The following is a 22338-nucleotide window of genomic DNA, read 5'->3' as shown; positions in this document are numbered from 1 at the left end:
ATATCAAATATATGAATGGATAAACACACACACAAGAATGGAAATATTTTCTCTTCTTTTAATTCATTCAGGATTTTGTATATTGCACCTTGAAAAAAATCAACCCCTTTATCTCCTATAATCCTCATCCTGGTTTTCCCCACCCAATATTTTATCAGTATAATTTTACCATCGAGATAAGCTTCCTCCTCTTTCTCTTCCTGTGTGTTTAGTCACCTTTCCCATCCTCTTTCAAACCAAAGAAGGCTTTGAAACCAAGGACCTACAATAATACTGTTCTTTCTGCAAAAGGCATCTTAATATCATGGCTGCAATCTGCCTTGTCTACAAGAGCCTCATCTCCTTTACCATATGTTCATTTCCTGAACACCTAATCCTCCAACGATCAGTTACAAATCCTGTAGCCAGTGCCCCCTCCTAAGACCAGATATAGTTCACCTTTCATGCAGTCCTCAGTCTTTTCTCCTCCAAAGTGATACCAGGTCCTATAACCCTTCCCAGAAGCTATGACTCCTCTTTGACATCAGAAATCTGGTCCATTTGCCTTGGGTTCCAGCCCAAATCTGTCCCTCCCCCTGCTAACTGCATTATCAGGTATTTTCCTGTAGCGGAATCTAGCTAAATGTACCTCTTGACTGGGGTCCACCTCTTTCATTTTTGTAGCCCTGCTATTCGTTTTACCCTCAGTGAATCCACTTCACACAACACGGCTGATGAATCCCACAAATGTAATGTGGAGAGGGTCAAAGAAATCAGATGTAAAAGGGTATGTGCTTGCATATAAATATCCTATGATTATGAGTATGATTAGCAGCCATCATACTCTTGAGGGTGGGTGGGGGCCTGATAAATGTTTAACGACTGGCTCTCCTCTGAGCAAGAAAGCCATGCTGGCTAATGTCCATGGTGTAAATACTCCTAACCATTGCCAATTTCAACCTACTAACATGACATCACTTAACATGGAGTAGGAGAAGTGTGTGCTATAGCATAGCATTATGTGATATTTCTACTAGACAGATACAATAGATAAATAACCTCAAGAGCATAAATAAGTGTATAACATAGTGAAATAAATAGGAAGTAATGAATTTTGAATATTTATTACCTATTACTGTGTGCCAAATGATCTTTCTAGCATCTCACTCTCCTACAAATGTAAAGCCCCAACAGGTAATGTCACCTGAGAACACAGGACTAAAATGACTGCAAATATCCAATGATACTCTCGATTTCCACCATCTTTGAAGACTCCTAATCTAGTCCATATTTATTTATCTTTTCAACAAATGCTTACTGAGCATGTTTCAGGCACTTTTTTCTCTTTGGTAGTTTTATTGAGGTATAATTGACATACAATAAACTATACATGATAAAGTATACAATTTGATAAATTTTGACATCTGTGTACACCCATGAAGCCATTACTATAACCAAGATAATGACCATATCTATGATAACTGGCACTCAAAAGCCATAGGAGCTAGCTTCAGCACAGGACTGGGTTGGGTAAGTGAACGGAATGGAATATGATCAGAGATGCTGGAGTTGGGATAATGTTCTATTTCTTGATCTCCGTGATGGTTAAATAGGGATTTCTGCATGGTTAAAATGTATTGAGCTGAACACTTACAATGTGTGGACTCTTCCCAGTGTGTGTTAAACATCAATAAAATTCACCCCAAAAAGGGAGTAGGATTAAAGAGGGAAAGGGGTCAATTACTTCTTCTGAACTTAAAATTCTCTGGCTTTCTGTTGCATTTCAGTTAAAATGTCAGCTACTTCCCACAGCTTTCAAGCCTTGCTTTGCAGCTTCTAACCCCTGACTGTATTTCCGGCTTCACTAGCTCAGGCCTCAGTTTCTCAAAGCTGTCAAGTTCCTTCCAGTCTCAGGGCCTTTACATATGCTGTTCCCTCTGCCTCAAGCTCTTTCTGCCACTGTGTTAGTCCACTTTTGTACTGCTATAAAGGAATACCTGAGACTGTGTAATTTATAAAGAAAAGAGGTTTGTTTTAGCTTGCAGCTCTGCAGGCTGTGCAGGAAGTGTGGTGCCAGGATCTATTTCTAGTGAAGGCCTCAGGGAGCTTACAATTATGGTGAAAGGCAAAGGGGGAGCCAGTATATCTCATGGAAAGAAAGGAAGCAAGAGAGAGGCGGGTAGGGGGGTGGGGTTGCCAGGCTCTTTTAAACAACCAGATCTCCTGTGAACTCATAGAGTAAGAACTTACTGATTATAGCAAAAACAGTTCCAAGCCATTCATGAGGGATCCGCCCCCATGATTCTAACACCTCCCACCAGGCCCCACCTCCAGCACTGGGGATCACATTTCAACATGAGATTTGGAGGGGACAAATAAATATCCAACCATATCGGCCACTTTTCCCAAAGCAGCTACTTCCTTCTCATCCTTTAGAGCTCAGCCTAATCATCACCTTCTGAAGTAGCTGCCTTCTCTAAAGTAGTGTTACTCTTTTTCTCAAAGCCTTATTCGTTTATTTCTGCATGCTTTTTAAAGTAACTGTTTCTTCATCTGTTTGCTTTTGACCTTTGGCCTCCTACTTAACTGTAAACTCCATGAGGTCAGGGATCACAGGTTTTGTCTTATCAGTGTAACCCAGACACAATATAAGGAACCTAGGAGGTCTTTAATAAAAATGTAATGAATGGGCCCAGGCGCGGTGGCTTACGCCTGTAATCCCAGCACTTTGGGAGGCCAAGGTGGGCGGATCATGAAATCAGGAGATCGAGACCATCCTGGCTAACATGATGAAATCCCGTCTCTACTAAAAATACAAAAAAATTAGCCAGGCGTGGTGGCAGGCGCCTTTAGTCCCAGCTACTTGGGAAGCTGAGGCAAGAGAATCGCTTGAACCCAGGAGGCAGAGGTTGCAGTGAGCCGAGATCGTGCCACTGCACTCCAGCCTGGGTGACAGAGTGAGACTCTGTCTCAAAAAAAAAAAAAAAAGTAATGAACGAAGCAGTTAATTCTTGGTTTTCTTGGGGAATGCAAGGAAGCTGTGCCCCAGAGGATGTGTGTAGATTTAAGGAGTGGGAGCAGAGGAGTCAGTCTAATATGCTGATTACGAAGCCGTTTAGGTGACGCCTTACCAGCTGCAGATTCCACGTCCTGCTTCCTGCAAGAGTCTGAAGGTTCACATCAGATGAGGAGACTGAAGCCCTGAGTGCCTAACGCCATGAGCAGAGGTGGAATTGGAATTGCCATCTCCTGATTCCCAAACTAGAGCTCACCTCTCTTTGTTATATTTTCAGAGGCTGGAATTGGGGAGTGGGGAAGGAATGAGGAAGGGGGAGAGAAGGAGCATGAGCTTTAACACATGCAGACATGGAAAAGAATCTGGCTTTATAACTGCCTGGTTCAGCATTCTTAGGCAAATAGCCAAGTCTCCCAAGCCTCAATTGTCTCATCACTAAAATGGGGAACGTAATGACCATTTTATAGGAACCTTGCAGGAAATGGAGGAAACAATATATATAAAGTGCATATCTCATCCTTGGTGTTTAATGAAAGCCCAGTTGGTTCCTTTTGTTCCCTGTTGTGGCAGCAGCCGCTGGGGGCTGGGCGAGATGAGGCGTCCCCTCGCTATTCCACGAATGTCCTAATCATGACTCTGATCGTTGCCCAATTTAATTAATGCCCTAGCAGTGGGTTGACATTCTCAGGCTTTAACTGTCTAAGAAAAGCGCTGGTATCACGATGCTGTGCTAACACATCAAGCTTCTCCTCTTGAATGTCTAATGAATTCATTCCTGTAGGCACTCTGAGAAGAGTGAGAAGATTAAGGCATAGATTGGATGTAAAACGATGACAGTTGTAAGGCATAAAATCAATAATGCCCCACTTTCCCAAAAACCTGGAACCTTTGTCATGTCAAAAATATAGTGAGGTATCTTCTGACATACTTATGTAGTGATGCTATTCTCCTAAGAACAATTTTTTCTAATTACAGGTATTTAGCTTCTCATTAAAACTTGGTTACACTGATTTTAGGGTTCCAGGCATTAAAATGATGTACGGAGTGAAGTGCAGGGAGATGAAGGAAAGTGATATACTTTTAGTATTTACTTTCTTGCAGATACTGTGATAGCTGTTCACCTCCCATGAGATAGGCATACCCTTCTTCATGTTAAGAACTTCAGATTTCACTTAATTTTAAGTAAAAGACGCCAGTTGGGTAGAATCTAAGATGCTGTAACAGAGACTTGGAAAGTAGAGGGGTTCCAACAGGTTAGAAGTTTGTTTCTTTCTCATATAACTGTCCAGAGATAGGCAGCCTGGGATTGCAGGGTTGCTCTGCTCTCCTCAAGATGGTGCTTCCATTTCTGAAACTAAGATGGCTGCCCCCTGCTGCCATTGTGTTTGCATCCCACACAGCAGAGACAGGGAAAGGCAAGGCAATCTTTTCTTTTAAGGGCATGATTCAGAAGTGGCAGACATCATCTTTGTTCATGTCCCTAAAGAGCTTAGATGATTTAAATAATACAGAAGTTCATTCCTCTGACATGTAACAATCTAAGGGTAAGCAGCCCGAGGGTTTCCACAGTATCAGGAGCCACATTTCTTGTTTTTCCACCATCCCCCAGGGTTTGTCATCTACACAGCAGAGGGCAGCTTGCCACCACGTGGGTCCATATTCCAGCCAAAAGAACTGAGAGAAAGGAAGAGAGGACAATCCTTTTCCTCTTGAGGGCACAACCTGGAAATTGTTCACCTCATTTCTACTCATATTCCATTGGCCAGAATATGGTCACATGGTCAAAATTAGCTGCAAGGGAAGCTGGGAAATGTGCCTAGCTAAAACGGGGTAATTTGGTTACTAAAGGAAGAAGGAATAAATGGTTTCTGCTAGAAAATAACTCCTCTGCCATAGGAAACCATTATAAGGATTTGTGCACGTGATACAATTTATTTGTCAGAAATTTTGTGACTGTTGGATATAAAGTGCACTGTGGAGGGTAGGCACAAGCATGGAAGCAGGAAGAGAAGCTGATGAATAAAGCGGCCTGGTCTAGGGTGTAGCAGCTGAGATGATAAGTGGTCTGATTCAAGATATATTTTGAAATGTACTTTCAGATGCCCTCAGCACACACACAACAATAATAGTATTAACACAAATTTAAAACGCAAACACCTAAGCAGGATTTTCTGTGGGGTGGATATGGAGTGTGACAGAGAAAGAGGGGTTGAGGATCTTTGGATGAAAGGCTTTTTCAAGTCACTCAGGGTTCAGCTCAGTGAAGTTTCCTTGATCCACTGGTTCATGGCAGTCATGCTATCATATCAACCTGGTTTTTCTTCCTAAAACATATCTCTATCTGAAATTATCTTGCTTAGTTTTCTGTTTGCTTATTTTCTCTTCCCACTAAAAGATATGCTCCACGGAGTAGAAATGCTTTCTATCCTATTCATTATTCTAGTGTTGGCACCTAGAACAATGCCTGGCACACAGTAATATTAAGAGCCAACATTTGTAAGCCGACATTTACTTAACACTTGTTGAAGGGATGAATCAGTTAGATAACAGTTGGTGTTTCTGAAGATGATAAATGAATAGAAAGAAAAATTAAATGATATAATAAGGAAATAGAATGACAGGAGCCAGAAATCTACATATTGAAGAGGCTACAATGTTTTTTAAAAATGATTAAATATTGACCAATGCTGTCACATTTGTGATGTTATTTATCTAGAGTTTACAGTCCACAGGTACCCTAGTAGAAAAATCAAGTTACTTTAAAAGAAGAAATGATCAGTCTGCTCTCAAATATCTCAACTCTCTCTTTAGCCCAGTAGATTTTTTTTAAAGGAGTCCCTAGAGATTTAGAGGGAAAAGAGTACGACTCAAGAATTCTAAAAGCAATCAAATTGTCATTCAAGCATGTAAGAACTGTGGAAACATATCACTTGTACATTTTTCCTGGAATGGAAAGATATCATTAGGGGCCCTGGGCATGATTGTGATGTTGAGGCATATAAGCATTATTGGTGAGCATTAAAATATATTCAACATAAAATAAAGTCTGAATATTTTTAATAATTATGGTTGTAAAACATAAGGGAAATGTTACATTTCTTGTAAGAAAAGCTACACAATGTAAAATAATAATAGAAGATTAATTTGGCTGCTTTAACAGATACCAAATTAACACAGTTTAAACAAGATGAAGTTTATTTCTCCCTCCACAACAGTCTGATTATACACAGTCCACAGCTGCTCTGGGGCTCCATGGTACTAGGCACACAGGTTTCCTCTCTCTTGTTAGTCTGCATCCCCTAAAGGGTGGCTGTCTTCAGCTTTGTTGAATAGGGTTCTCGACCACGTTCACTGGGTTCATGTTCTAGCAGCAAGAAAGGTTAGAAGGTGGAGAGGGAGCAGAAATTGAACACATCTGTTTTACTCACATCCAATTAATCATCCTATGACCACACTTAGCAGCAAGGAAGGCTGGGAAATGTGGTCTTCAGCTGGGTGGCACATGTCGACCTAAATCCTCTATGATTATAGAAGTAGTAGAGAAAAGACATGTGTGGGGAGGGAAACTATCAATCTTTGACATTCTACTTCAGGTGTTGTTGTGAGAATGAAATGAAATATATCAGGACACATGCTTAGTATTTGCCCCTAAATATGGTTAGTGTTCAGGAATAGTAGGTATTCTTTTTAAATGAAAATAACCTTATTTTTCATTATAGAAATGATACATGTTGGTTATAAAATATTCAAACAATATAAAGGAACATAAAAAAGTTAAGATCACTCTGAACCTCATCTTCAGAGTCAACCACTGCTAACACTATGCCCACATCTGATAATTTATCAAATGTGTATTTGAGTCCCAATATGTGATATTAGGGACATAATAAGACAAAGAGGCAAATATGAGCCTTCCAAAATTAGTCGATTTCCTTTTGAATTTATCTCATTGATATAAAACTATGAAAAAAAGAGTAACTCTTATAAACGTTTCAGCACTTAAACAAAATGTATTCTCTATAGAGTAAATAGCTGGTATATATACCTGTTATTTCAACTATATTAATTGTGTTATGTTTTTATGTTATGTTATTTGGTGCAAAAAATTTATGATAGTTTTATCTTCTTTGGGGACTGGACCATTAATAAGTATAAAGTCTCCCCTTGAGTTTGAATGTCTGATCTCAATATCACAACCCTTCCTTCCTTTCTTCTTCCACTTGTCTGGATTCTTAGGTTGATATATGAGTTTGTCCCCAAGCAGGTTCAGAACCTGAATAGGTTAATCTTTTTAAGGGCTCAATTTTCTTCTCTCATTCCCTTACAACAACCAGGGTACAGTTTACAGCCACCTGCTTTGTACTTACTAATCTTAGGTTCTATAAGAACCTGAGATATTTTAAACACTACATATCCTATTTGGATACATTTCCCCCACATTGAAAAAGATCGTGCCAAGTTGTAGCAGCAACTCAAATCTAGAGAGTTTGAGTTTTCATTAGATTTCAAGTGAAGCCATCAATTCACAGCTAATGTGTAGTTCAGAGGCATTGTACAGGGTTCCTTTGATGCCTTTGAAAATGTCACGTATACCTTAACATTTTGTGCTTCATCTATAGAGAAGCAGCCACTACAGAGTTGGCATCTCTATTTACAAAGAGGCAAATATGAACCTTCCAAATTTTGTCAAATTCCTTTTGAATTTATCTCATTAATATAAAACTCTGAAAGAAAAAAACCAGTAAATCCTGGCTTGTTCACCTATTTTTTTTCCTAAGAAAATAATAAAAATGATGCCTGTGACTATTTGAGGGTGCCCATTACGTGCCAAGCATTTCACATGTATCATCTCTACTCTGATCCTCATAGCCACCTGCCATATGAGTGTGATGACCACCTTTGGGCAGGTAAGAGTACTGAAGGGAATGTCACAAGTACAGCTGCACATGTAGACTACCAGTGGCAAGAAGGAGCTGGGGGTCAAGACTGTTCTGTTTCACTGCGCAACGTCTGTTTGTTCCACTGCTCTAAGAGCTGGACTTCTGAAAGAAATGGGCAATTCTTTGTTTTACTATGTTTTGTGTTTTGAGTAATGTTTCCTCTTTTTCTATCCCTGGACGCTCTTTACTGGAGTCTAATAAGAACAAATTCCATATGCAGCTACAGAAATGCAAGTCTGAAGGAATGGAAGGCTAGAACCTGTTTTATTTACAGTTCGGCAAACAAATACAATTTGCTTAAATAAGCCCACCAGGAGGGTTGGTGGAATCAAGTCTTTTGTTATTTTAGTGCTGTAATTCCAGAATGTACCTCGGTGATTAAAAAAGAACACTGATATCAAATATTACTCTCTATTTATCGCAAATACCATACTAAGTTTTTGTTGCTGTTTACAATATGTAAGCTCCATAGCAAAACATTATATCTAGTTTCAGAAATGCTAACTGCATTTGGATCACAAAACAGGTAAAATTTTCTGGGGCACTTAATTGTGTTTCTCACAACCAACTAAAACACTTAATATGTAACTTTGGGAAAGAAAGAGTTGTTTTTGTTTGTTTATTTCGTTTTGTTTTCTTTTTTGAGACGGTGTCTCACTCTGTCGCCCAGGCTGGAATGCAGTGGCATGATCTTGGCTCACTGCAACCTCTGCCTCCTGGGTTCAAGCAATTCTGGTGCCTCAGCCTCCCAGGTAGCTGGGATTACAGGCGCCTGCCACCACGCCCGACTAATTTTTGTATTTTTAGTAGAGATTAGGTTTCACCATGTTGGCCAGGCTGGTCTTGAACTCCTGACCTCAGGTGATCCACCCGCCTCGGCCTCCCAAAGTGCTGGGATTACAGGCGTGAGCCACCACGCCCAGCCGAATTGTTCCTTTCAAATGCAGGTATATTTCCAATAATGTGCAATACAAGGTGATTTGGTATAACTGACTAAAAGGACCTGGGAGTGATTTAATGGAAATGAAGAAATGGTTAGACCAAACCCATAGCATTATATCTGTAGGACTTTTCCACAGATTCAGGCCCTCCTTCAGACTTACTGATTCAAAATTTTGAGAAGTAGAGTTACAGACATGTGCTTTTAGAAATTTCAGGGGTAATTTTGATGCGCATCCCTGGTTACAAACCTCTGAGCTGGAGCCAGGTGTGTATCTTTAGTACACTGACTAGCAACAAAAAGATATTTTCTTTCCAATGCTGGCTGCTACTACAAACAGTTGTTCTTCCCTGTCTCTTTCCTCACTCCAAGAAAAAGGAATTTAGGCAATGAAATAAAGATGGGCAGATGTTCTCAACAATGGGCGATATGGATCATCTGATTCTCAAAGAAATGTACCTTTCTTGTCTGCCATGAATACCTGACGCAGATGGAGCTTAATAGACACTTGCATGCTAGGAAAGGGTTTCGGGAATGATAAATGAAGTTTTTTTGGGGGGATGGGGTCTGGGTCGCTTCGTCACCCAGTCTGGAGTGCAGTGGTGTGGTCTCGGCTCAATGCAACCTCTGCCTCCCAGATTCAATCAGTTCTCGTGCCTCAGCCTCCCAGGTAGCTGGGATTACAGGCATGTGCCACCACGCCCAGCTAAGTTTTGTATTTTTAGTAGAGACAGGGTTTCACTACGTTGACCAGGCTGGTCTCGAACTCCTGACCTCAGGTGATCCGCCCACCTTTGCCTGCCAAATTGCTGAGATTACAGGCGTGAGCCACCATGCCTGGCCTCAGTTTTTACTAGCAAAGAAATCAAAATACTTTTTTTTCCAATCAATCATATGGTGAATAGATGGACACAACATTGGAAATCATGGAGTCCAACTGTCTTATTTTACATTAAGAGAAACTGAGCCCAAAGTGGGGAAGTGACTTCTATGTCACACAGCTTTTTCCTGCAGTACAAACCATTCAATTCAATGGCCAACCTCAGAATGCAAACCAAGCTTTCTATTTGTTTTTGGAGCCTTGCCTCACTGAAATTAGAAAGAACACAGAAACAGCTGTTCAACCATGTCCAGAAATGAGATTCCATTCTTCAGTAAAGCACCAAAACTTTAGCTAAGAATTGTTAACGGAGAAAAAAAAGATCAGCCTGAAACAGATTCTTCAGCAAAGTTGCCCATCCTCACGGAGGCTCACAAAGAGTTAAATAACCAAAGTTATCTTTATATTAGCTTTCCTGTCATCAATGTGAATTGTCCTTCCAGGACAGATATTTGAGAGTGGGCTTAGCCAAATCTTTATTACATGCTGTTTTTCTGGATCTGTTCTCAGAGAGGAGCTTTCGTATTCTCAATCTCTCTTCCTTTCCTAGCCCCTAAACAAAAACTTGGAGAACAGCATTTGTATCAAGGTAAAGATCTGGTATCAAATAATCCATATGATATTATTAATGCCTTTTTGGATGTTATCGACCAAATTGTGTCCCCTCCCCTGCCCCATTCATATGTTGAAGTCCTAGCTCCCAGTACTCAGAATGTGGCTATATTTGGAAATAAGGTCATTGAAGAGATACTTTAGTTAAAATGAGGTCATTGGGGTAGGCCCTAATCCAACATGACTGGTATCCTCACAAGAAAAGGAAATTAGGACAAAGACACATGAAGAGGGAAGACCATGTGAAGAAACAGGAAGAAGATGGCTGTCTACAAGGCCAGGAGAGACTAAGAAGAAACCTACCCTGCTGACACATTGATCTTGGACTTCTAGCCTCCAGAACTGTAAGACTATAAATTTCTGTTTAAACCACCCAGTCAGTGGTATTTTGTTATGTCAGCTCTAGCAAACTAATACATTGGATGTTTTATTCATTTGTTACGGATGTGAAATTTAATTCCATTCTTTAACAAGTGCATGCTCAAAATGGAGTGTCTGTGTCATCATTTTGACCCTTTAGTTAAAATGAAAACCTGGGCTAGGTGTGCTGGCACATGCCTGTAATCCCAGCATTTTGGGAGGCCAAGGTGGGTGAACTGTTTGAGCCCAGGAGTTCAAGACCCACTTGGGCAACATGGCAAAACTCCATCTCTACAAAAAAACTTAGCTGTGTGTGGTGGTACATGCCTGTAGTCCCAGCTACTTGGGAGGCTGGGGTGGGAGGATTGCTTTAGCCTGGGAGGTCAAGGCTGCAGTGAGCCGAGATCATGCCATTTCACTCTATCCTGGGTGACAGAGTGACACCCTGTCTAAAAATAAATAAATAAAATAAAATGAAGACCTAGACATTGGTATCAGGATGTCTGCATTGACAAACACCTGAAAACCCAATTCTAATAATTAAGGTAACAAATGGGATGCATTTAGCTCAAACAGCTCAAAGGTCAAGAGGGAGTACAGGCTTCAAGTGTAGTTTGATCAGGGTGTAGCTTCCTCTGCTTCTCCCTGTTTATCAGGTGTGTGGTTGGGTTGGATCCTCTCGAGGTGGAAAGAGGGCATCAGTAGTTATACCTGCTCTTCCATTCCTGTCCAAGGAGAAAGGATGGCATCGAGTAACTATAACAAGTCCAGGCTTTCCTCTGATTGAACCAGTCATTGTTACACTAATAATAACAACAGTAACAACAACTAATACTTCATGTACTCTTAATATATGTCAGGCACTCTTCTAAGTGCATCTGCTGCAGGAACTCTTTCAATCCTCATAAAAAGAGGAATGGTGGAAACAAACTAAATGTCTATCAACAGATGAATGCATAAAGCAAATATGGTATAGACATACAATGGAATTCTATTCAACCATAATAAGAAGGCAATTCTGCAATATAAAATGAGATAGATGAACCTTGCATACGTTATGCTAAGTGAAATAAGCCAGTCACAGAAAGACAAACACTGCATGATTCCACTTATCTGAGGAACTCAAAATAGTCAAATTCAAAGACTCAAAAAGTGGAAAGGTGGTTTCCAGGGGCTGGGGAGGGGACAAAATGGGGAGTTACCAATTAGTGGGCATAAAGTTTCAGTCAAGCAAGATGAATAAGTTCTAGAGATCTGCCGTACAACATTGCACCTATAATCAACAATAATGTTTCACACTTAAAAAATTTTAGAAGGGTAGATCTCATGTTAAATGTTATTATAATAAAATTTTAAAGGCAAATAAATAAACAGAAAACCCAAACGAAACGAAACAAAAAACAATGGGACCACCCTGATTTGTTAATTTGGTCAAGCCCAACCCCTGAACTGAGAGAGGAGGTAAGGCCCCCCACCAGCTGAAATTATAAGACTGATACACAAGGTGAAGGATAGATATTAGGAAAATAACCGCAGTATGAACTACAACCATGTGTTTGAAAAGTTATAACTCTGTTCCATGCTTCAGATTTCCTTAGTGATCTAGCTTAATACAGGCAAAACCAAGATACGTTCTCCTTTCATTGTCCACATTACTTACATTACCTTTCGTCACAAATGTTCTAATGTCACAGTATTGTTTTCTTCTTGCAGATACAGATGCCAACAGAAATTGAGTTAGGAAGCTTGCAGGCTTCCAGAAATTCATCAACACCTGATCAGCTTTTCTGCTGCAAGTTAAAGTGACCTCTGAAGAGGTCAAACCCTAGGTCCCTTTGATTCTGCTACTGTTCTGACATTTGCAGAGGGGTGTGAAAACCTCTTTGCTTGTTCTGGCTTGTGTGAGCTGCTTTATCTCTTACCCTAGACGTACAGTAAGAAAAGAGCAATCAGAGACAGGCATTTGGTGAGGCTTTAGTTTGTCCCACTTTCACTCCTGCCCCCACCTCCCACCTTGTCCATGTTAGGTGTTCCCTGTAAGAATGAAATGTACTGATCCGATATTTTCCCATTTTTAAACTTGAATTCAATTAGACTTTTGTCATGGGTCATATAAAGCAGAAATGCATGTGTATTATGATTTCTGGCATATTCTAATGAATCAAGTGTTAATGTCATAAGGCTTCATTGATTTGAAATAACGGGCAATTTACTGACTGAAGGCTAAATATTGGTACAAATGAGTACAACATATTTTTGAAAATAATTTGGCAATACTTTATCAAAAGTTACAAAATATTTGTGTCTTTTATATAGCAATCCCACTCCTAGGGGTTATTAAAAGTGGAGGGGGGAAGCCTCATGCACAACAATGTTCATTCAAGACTGTCTTAGAATAATATAAATGTAAACAATACATATTCTAACCATATGCATGACTAAGACAATTATAGTAAAAACTTCTTAGAGGAAAATATTATGTAACTATTAGTTATTCCCTTTGTTTGGAACACTTTCCACCCCCTCTGCCTTATTTCTCTGCCAGCTAACTCCCACTTAGTCTTCAAGACTCAGGGTACCCACCACTGTGCTTATATAACACCTGGGCACACCTCTATTAAAACATGTATAGCCCACTGCATTGTAACCCATGATTTTGCCTGTTAGTGCCCTCCACTGGATTGCAACTCACTGAGGCAGAGTCTGTCATTTGTGCAACAAGTTAAAAATCAGAAAGCAATGGGGCAATAAATAAAATTATTTCTGATATATAGAATTTAGCTTCAGCTAATTCAGACCTGCCTTCGTTCCCTGCTCCCAACCCCCTCCAGCCTCCAGCAGCAGCAGCAGCAGCAGCAGCAGCAGCAGCGCCCCTGAAGTCTCTTGTGGAAGGTGAGAAATCTACCGATAAGCTTTCTAGTAGGAGTGTCTTTGGGGAGGGAGTGAGTGGGAGATTAGAAATGGGGCCGGTGGAATATTCCTGCAAAACTCCAGGAACCATTAGCATTCCACTTCTTCTTACAAAGATTGTTTTCATGTCTGAGTTGCCCTATATAGTGCAGAAATTGAGAATGCAAACGTGCAAACGATCGGTGTGATCTACTGAAAGGCGATGCGCGTTCCCTTCTTGCAGGCAGAACTGCCTTAGGAAGCATGAAAGTGGACGCAGCCCGGTGCCAGGTGTCAGCGATTTGAGCTCGCTTCCGGGCCCCATTCATTTCCAGCCCGGCTCCCAGATACTTCCCGAGGCGCTCCCTTTTGCCCGCCCGACTTCTGAGCGGAGCGCTCGGGTGTGAGGAGAACCGGCAAATCCTCGCGGGCGCTGGGCGCTCGCGGAGCCGCCCGCGCCCAGCCCCGTCACGTTGGCTGCCGAGCGCATCCCGGCTGCGCCCCGGCGGGGAGGCGCCGAGGGTAGCTAAGGGGAGCAGGTCACGTGAGAGGAGGAGTCTGACCTACTTTCCAGGCGGTAGGCGCATGCGCACTTCCCATCTGCGCTCCGGCCGGGAGGCTCACGTGGAATCGCACGTGCCTGGTCCTGCAGCTAGGGGCTCCTGGCCCGGGGCGCGCAGGGGCGGGTCCGCGGTGGGACCCGCGGAGAGGGGCGCGGCGGGGCGGAGCGCTTGGAGACTCAGTCTGCGGGTCCCGCAATCATCATCCGTGACAACCACAGCCTCTGGAGAGCTGCTTAGGCTCCCTGCGGGGCTTCCCACGAATTCATCACATTCAACATTCGTGAATTCAGAAATTAAGACAAAGACTGCACCTCTGCCCTGTAAATCACTAGTTCCGCAACTCAGAATTTATCCTGCAAATGGGCTTCTGCTCCTGCGAAGTGAAGTCCCTGCAAGGATAATCATTACATCATTGTTGGACATCACAAACGGCCAGAAACAGTCAAAATGTCCAACGATAACACCGGTTAAATTCATAGAAACGTAAATTATGGTTGGGCCACACTTGAAGTTGTCTGCAGCTCTTAAAAACAAATAGACTCTGCTCTCTAGACACTGATATGGAAAGACCTTCAAGATACATTATGTGATTTGTAAAAAAAAATGATGCAGAACAGTGTCTGGGATGCTGACATTTGTGAGGAAAAAAATTATATATGTATATATGTTATGATCAGACTAGTTCTGGAAAAATATATTGGATGACTGGGGGTGGGGGTCAGGGAAGACGCGAGACTCCATACTTATGTAACTTTTAAATTTTGTACCATGGATGATTAATCTTTTTTTTTTTTTTTCCAAATAACATTTAAAAACAGTTATTTAGCACTTACCCTGTGCTGGGCACCAGCTTTTATGTAAATCATTTCCTCCTAGAAAGTTTGTCATGTACAGTATCTGCCGCATTTCCTGTTCTGTTCAGCTTGAATCTTAATGTCTTAAGCTTTCTGATACACAGTTGAGACGTTTTTTAAAATCCCGATATGAACAACCGAAGCCCTCCACATCTTTAAGATTCTTTTCAAGTTCTGTCTCTTGAGGGAAAGTATCTTAACCAAGAGGCTCTCAGCAACAAATACTTGCATAATAAAGCTGACACAGCAGTTTCACATATGTGATTAGCTTTTACTCTCCCGATTGTGAGTTTGTAGTGCAGATATTATTATCACTGTGGTTAGTACATATGTGCCGGTTATATTCGGTTGCAAGTTAACTAAAAGTCCAACTCTAAGTGGCTTGAACGGTAAAGCTCATTTAACTTCAGATTGGATGTTGGATTTCAGGGATACATCGATTTGCCTGCTAAACAATGCCATCAGGAACTTGTTTCTTTCTAATCTTCTGCCAAGGTTTCCATAGTGTCAGCTTCATCTAAAGCTTTGGGAGGCCGGGAGCGGTTGCTCACGCCTGTAATCCTAGCACTTAGGGAGCCTGAGGCGGGCAGACTGCCTGAGCTCAGGAGTTCGAGACCAGCCTGGGCAACATGGTGTAACTCCGTCTCTACTAAAAAATACAAAAATTAGCCAGGCGTGGTGGCTCACGCCTGCAGTCCCGGCTACTCAGGAGGCTGAGGCACGAAAATCACTTGAGCCTGGGAGGCGGAGGTTGCAGTGAGCTGAGATCCCAACTGCACTCCAGCCTTGGGGATAGTGTGAGAACCTGCCTCAAAAAGAAAAAAAAAAAAAAAAAAAAAGTAAAGCTTTGGGAAAGTCTCATTTAGTAAAAGTGCTTCTTCCCAGAAGCAGCAAGTAAACATCCTCCCTATACTCTTGGCCTCAAGTTGGGGCAAGTGCCCACACTTGAACTAGTAACAATAGCAGGAGAAGGAATTATGCCAATTCGTTTGTGTTACTCTATTAGTCCATGTGCTTTGAGGGGAGCTAAAGAAAAAAAAAAAAAAGACAGCCTATGGATGGTGTGAAGTGACCACAATGCCTCTTAATCATTACTGTCACTCCCACCGCTATTATTTCCCTCTTTCTGGTGTGGCAAACTGGATGAAGTGATAGCTCTTGACTTCCTGAAGATTATGTAGGCAGTATACTTGCATTTTCCCTCTACTGTATACCTTCCCAGTGATGGAGTAAGAGCATGAACACATCAGAAAAGTCTATCTCCAATCTAGCAAAACTACTTGAGTTATAATGAGAAATCAGTGATACCATTATGGCAGAATTATATACAAGGAAGTGTGCAAACACCACATTTACGTTCTATCTCTTCATCTACCCATCGAATAAGTATCAAAAACTTCTACTGTCTGTGGAAGCATAAAGGCTCATACAGAAAAAACAGCAGATATTCATGACCAAGCCCCTGAACTCAGAGGGAAGACAATCAAGTTAGGCAGGCAAGATAAATACTTGGGAAACGCTGAAATAATGATATGAGACAGCATGCAATTAAATGTCTACGTGGATGATAATACAGTGTGGCAGATGTTGAGAGCAGAGGCAGGGATTGGTTGAAAAAAAATATAGCAAATAGGAGTGGGCCTTGAAGGATTGCTAAGGTAAGATACAATAAGCACCGGAGAAGGGAAAGGCTGTATAGATAGTTGGACAGTATGAGCCAAATAGTACAGGTGGAGGCTAGGCGTGGTGGCTCATGCCTGTAATCCCAGCACTTTGGGAGGCCAAGGTGGGTGGAATCAGGAGGTCAGGAGTTGGAGACCAGCCTGGCCAACATGGTGAAACCCCATCTCTACTAAAAATACAAAAATTAGCTGGGCATGGTGGCGTGCACCTGTAATCTCAGCTCCTCGAGGAGGCTGAGGCAGGAGAATTGCTTGAACCAGGGAGGCGGAGGTTGCAGTGAGCCAAGACCGCACCACTTCACTCCAGCCTGGGTGACAGAGCAAGACTCCATCTCGGGGGGTGGGGAGTGGGGGAAGAGTACAGGTGGAAATGAATTGGGTGTTCTCAAGATTAGAGAAAAGACCTATTGGCATGGTGGTGGGGGGGGACGGGTGTTTGTGTTGGAGGAGCGAGAAGTGATGCTGAAAATGTAAGAAACCAGGTGCCCCAGGCCCCACCACCCTGTGGATATAGATGCGTTGTAAGTATTTAAATTGCTCTGACTCTATTTCCACCTGCTCGTTGTTTCCAAGTCTCAACCAGTTAGAGAATACCCGAGGGTCTTTCACATGTGTTCACAGATCAGTCAGCCAGTTACTGTCACCCCACAGCATCTGCCGTGCTCTCCCTCTCCTGTTCTGCTCCCCCTAACTTCACCCTTTCCTAGAAAAGCAGGATGGAGGATGTCTCACCACCACTCGGCTAGTTATATGAGAGGAGGGGGGAAGAGTCAAGAATGATTCCAAGCATATCCACATTGCTGCCTGGTATGTCAAAATGAGACACATTATACACAGAACATGCCTGTAATTGGCATGGTCATACCGGAAGGAGAAGGGACCTCATCGAACACATTAGGTTTTAAAATATTTAAGTATTTAACAACCATCAATTCAAGGTTGAGGCATTCTCTCAAGGGCAGCCTAAGGCCAGTGCAGCTGCCAGGGTGGAAAATTTAAGGAGGCGCTCACTCTTGGGGTGATGCAAGGGTGAACTCACAGGAATAATGTGCCATCGTATTTGTCTTGTGGTCTGGACAGGCCAAAACTAGAAACTTTAAAGTGTCCATCTGAAACTGTAAGGCCCACAGCTTAACAGTCTTAACAGTAGACAGAGATGGATTCATACCCCTGTATTTATTTGTCTGTGCTTCCTTTTTTTCCTTGTAAAAGTCTTTCTTACTTATCCTTCTTACTACAGCTCAAATCATACTTTAAACTTTGAGTTTTTAACTAGATGTGTGAATTTTTGTGAACATATATGCTGTATATTCATTTGACAGTTGAACAAACATACATTAAGGATCTGAAAGGATAGATCAGGAGATTCATTAGTTGTTGGGTCTATGAAGAAAATAAACAAAAATCAACAAAAGTCCTATTTTCCAGGAGAACCCAACCTAGTAGGGGAGGTAGTCTATAAGGAGAAGACAGCCAGTTGTGAATGTTTGTCAGGATGGGTGGGGGTCGAGGACCTGAAAGAGTGAATGGCTGTCTCTACCATAGTTGGTGGTAGATGGGAGGTAGCATCTTACTTTCATTAGCATGTGATACCTGAGCTGGGTCTTCAGAGGTGAGACCCCATAAGTCAGACATTGTACAGGCATTTGGGGTAGAGAAAGGAGGAGTATTTAAATCCCAGATATTAAAAAACCTCTCACAGTTGGAGACAGGCCTGAAGACAGAAAATGGTGAAGGTCCTGAGAAATGGTCAACAAAAGATTCTACTCACTGTTATGAAGGGACAGGAGAATGGTCAAGGTGCCTGATGTGTGGAAATTGGGAGGAAGTTTTGGGCATGACGAAGCCATCCATTCCATAATTCTTGCTATAGAAAATGTAAACATTACGGGGCAGGGTGGAGCATATTTGCATAAGGAGACAAGTTTTTACAGGCCTGGAAACTCCCTTTCTCTTTCCCTTTTGATGCTAAACATTATTTGAAAATCTCTGATGGAGATAGTATGCCCTGAGACCAGTAGGTAGAAAAAGATACCGAAATGTCATGGTGATAGAGAAAGGGTGTGATTGGTATCAGGCTCTCAATTGTCACTTGAGGATGAAGCATGTGTCTGATGGTGGGGCCATCTTATCATCAAGGGAGTATTGGCCAGAAATGACCATAACATTGGGAGCTCATAGGTGAGCATAAGGGACCCTTCCTTGTTTTCCCTTCCCCCACATTTTCTGGAAAACAAAACTTTGTGAAATGCTGTGGCAGGAACATCCACTGGTGAAGAATCTTTTGGAATATCAGGCCGGGCCTCCTGCTTTGGCAGTGCACTTGTAATGCAGTAGCTTGTTCTTAGATAACCAAGTTACTGGTATGTGTCAGTCAGCATAGGCTGGAGTGGGTCAGTTACAAAAAATCCAAATACCAGTGACTTGAAAGGGTAAAGATTTATTTCTTTTTAAAATTAAATTATTTATTTTGAAACAGAGTCTTGCTCTGTGGCCCAGGCTGGAATGCAGTGGCATAATCATGGCTCACTGCAGCCTCAAAGTCCTGGGCTCAAGTGATCCTCCTATCTCAACCTCCCAAGTAGCTGGGACTACAGGCATGCACCACCACACCTGGCTACTTTTTAAGATTTTTTGTAGAGATGGAGGTTGTATTAGTCTGTTTTCATACTGCTATGAAGAATACCTGAGACTGGGTAATTTATAAAGGAAAGAGGTTTAATTGACTCACAGTTCCACATGGCTTGGGAGGCCTCAGGAAACTTACAATCATGGTGGAAGGCAAAGGGGAAACAAGGCACATCTTACATGGCAGCAGGCAAGAGAGAGAGCATGTGTAGGAGGAACTGTCAAGCATAAAACCATCAGATCTTGTGAGAACTCACTATCACAAGAACTGCACAGGGGAAACTGCCCCCATGATGATCCAATTACCTCCCACCAGGTCCCTCCCTCGACACCTGGAGATTATGGGGATTACAATTCGAGATGAGATTTGGGTGGGGACACAGAGCCAAACCATATCAGGGGTCTTGCCTTGTTGCCCAGGTTGGTCTTGAACTCCTGACCTCAAGCAGTCCTCCTGCCTCAGCCTCCCAAGGTGCTAGGGTTACAGGCATGAGCCACCTTACCTGGCCAAAGATTTGTTTCTTGTTCATACTACATACCCATTGCAGGTTGGTGCTCCATCTCATCATTGTTCTCACTTGAGGACTGAGATACAAGCTACAACCATTATTTGAGACATTGCGTGGCAGAGTGAAAATAGAGCACTGGAGGGTCCTGCATTAGTGCCTGGAGGTAACACTCATTGCTTCCACTCACAACCCATTGGCTAGAACTTGTCATGTAGTTCTTCCACACAACCACGGTGGTTGCATAAGTCAGTTCTACTGATGCCAGGAAGGAAAAGGAGCTGGAATATTTGTGAGCAGCTTCAACAGCTACTATGCACGTGACATCCTTGGCCTCAGGTTGGCTCACCAAATTCTGAGTCCAACAGGCAAGGAATGATATTGATGGTAGGAATAATAATAATAAATACTTTTTATTGAGGGCTTTCTATTCTATTAGAATAAAGCTAGACATTAGTCTAAGCATTTTCCCTACAGAAGCTTATTTAATTTTCCCAACCATTTTGGATACAGAGGTGATCACAGAAAAGATCATTCTAGCATAGGGAGGAATGTAGTCTCTCAATAGGGAGTGTAGCCTTAGAGTCAGATTTCATTAACAGAAAAATAAACTTATTTTATAAACCAGGAGTAGGAAGTGGGAGCTATGAGTTTCATATGTATTTCCACTTTCACTGCATAAAGAATTGATTCAGTGTGTAACAAAATCAGGAAAATATAAATTCAAGGTCACGAATAAATTAACTAGGACATTGTTTCTTGTACTTCACTTCCACAGTAATAATAGTTACTTTATTAATTTTTGCACATTTTATTACAGGCTTTCTTCATTCCAAGCAACCACAGGCTTTTCAAGGAAAATACTGAGTACAATATCTTCCTCCATATTGGCTCAGAGATCATCCCTGGAGGAACTACGTTAGGAGTGTGCTTACCATGACATATTGTTTGCAAAGCTCTAGCTGAGGGATATCTGGAAAAGGGGTGTGTGTGTGTGTGTGTGTGTGTGTGTGTGTGTGTCAGAGAGAGAGAGACATGAAAGGGAGTCCGGGGATGGAGGAGAGAACACGCATGTCTGTGTATCCCTAAGTGTGTTTTTCTTTTTACATCTGTATACCTTGCCCGACTATTCATTAGCAGCTTATTGAGTCCTTCTTTCATAGCTATTTCACAGCCTAGGGGGAATCACCTACCAAATATTTCTGAGCAATTGGTGCTGATTTGGAAAAATGTTTTCTGAATTGCACACAAAAATAGTGAGTAATATTAGCTAACATTTGAGACTTCATAACCAAGCACCTTGTTAATACGTGCGTTATGTTATTCATCCTCGAAATAACCAGTGATGAGGTGAATACTATCATCTGCTCAAGTTGACACAAGACAAAACTGAGGCACTGAGGAGTGACACTGCTGTTCAACAGAGCAAAGAGCTTACTGACTCTGGAACCCACACTTGGGACCTCTGCAGTATCTTGCCCTCTGGAGCTTTCCTATGGCCCAACTGAGTCTGGCATTCTGTGTTCTAACTCCAACCCACCTTTACAAGCTTATTGTCCTCCACTCACTTAAACTTTCTGTTGCTGGCTGTTTGGCTGTTCCCTGAACTCCTCTAAGCTTATTAACTCAACTTTTCACCCACAGCTCATTCTGCCCTCTTCTGGAATGTCCTTTTTGTCTGCCTGCCAGAGTCCCACCATACCTTCAGGCTCATATCAAGAAATGCCTTCTTCATAAGTGCCATCTCATCTTAACCATGTCTAACTACTGCCCTCTTTTTTCATCTTTCCTGTGGGTTTCGCCTCTGTCCACCCTATGCTGGAGGAGCATGGTATGTCATATGCCTAAGTTTATTCTTCAAGAACCTAGCTGACCAAGTGGTACACATGATAAGTGCTTGATGAATGAACAAAGGGGATATTTCTATAGGCCTGAGAAAATGTTAAATGGTTACACTGTAAAATGAGAGCATTATCTTCCCTCCTCTAGTATTTAAGGAAAGACACATTGTAAAACAGAAACTAATGAAAATAAAGCTTGTTATAGTTGACTTGAATATTCTTTGATCAAACCATGTTCTTCAGAACTTACTGATGTTCTAAAGGAAGTTTGATATAATCTGGTCATTCATCCATGTATTATTTATTAAGTGACTACTATGAAAACAAGTGCTGTTCTAGAGACTAGGGATCCAGCAATAACCCAACAGATAATAAACAAATAAGTAAGGAAATATATAGTATGTCAGATGGTAATAAGTGCTCTTGGGGTAGAAGAAAATAAAACAGTATGAACAGGAAAACCTGTGGCTGGAGGGAGCGATGTAATTGTGTTTACAGTCGTCAGATAAGCTCTAAGCAAGGAGATGACATTTGAGAAAAGAGCTGAAGTAAGTGAGGGAGTGAACTATGTAGAAATCTGGGAAGAGGGCATTCTAGGAAAGGGAACAGCAAGGGCAAAGGTCCCGAGGCAGGAGTGTGCTTTGTATT

The 22338-nt window shown here is 41.8% G+C and overlaps 1 annotated feature.

Moving 5' to 3' along the window:
• Positions 13971-14440: a silencer, noted in NCBI's record as "silent region_8730". NCBI's record gives its function as "represses an Ori minimal core promoter by ATAC-STARR-seq in GM12878 lymphoblastoid cells {active_cell/tissue: GM12878}" and the evidence as "EXISTENCE:reporter gene assay evidence [ECO:0000049][PMID:35858748]".

Source organism: Homo sapiens, chromosome 17 (genome assembly GCF_000001405.40).
Source record: "Homo sapiens chromosome 17, GRCh38.p14 Primary Assembly".
NCBI classification, from domain to species: Eukaryota; Metazoa; Chordata; class Mammalia; order Primates; family Hominidae; genus Homo; species Homo sapiens.
This window is presented reverse-complemented; position numbering and strand designations above follow the sequence as displayed.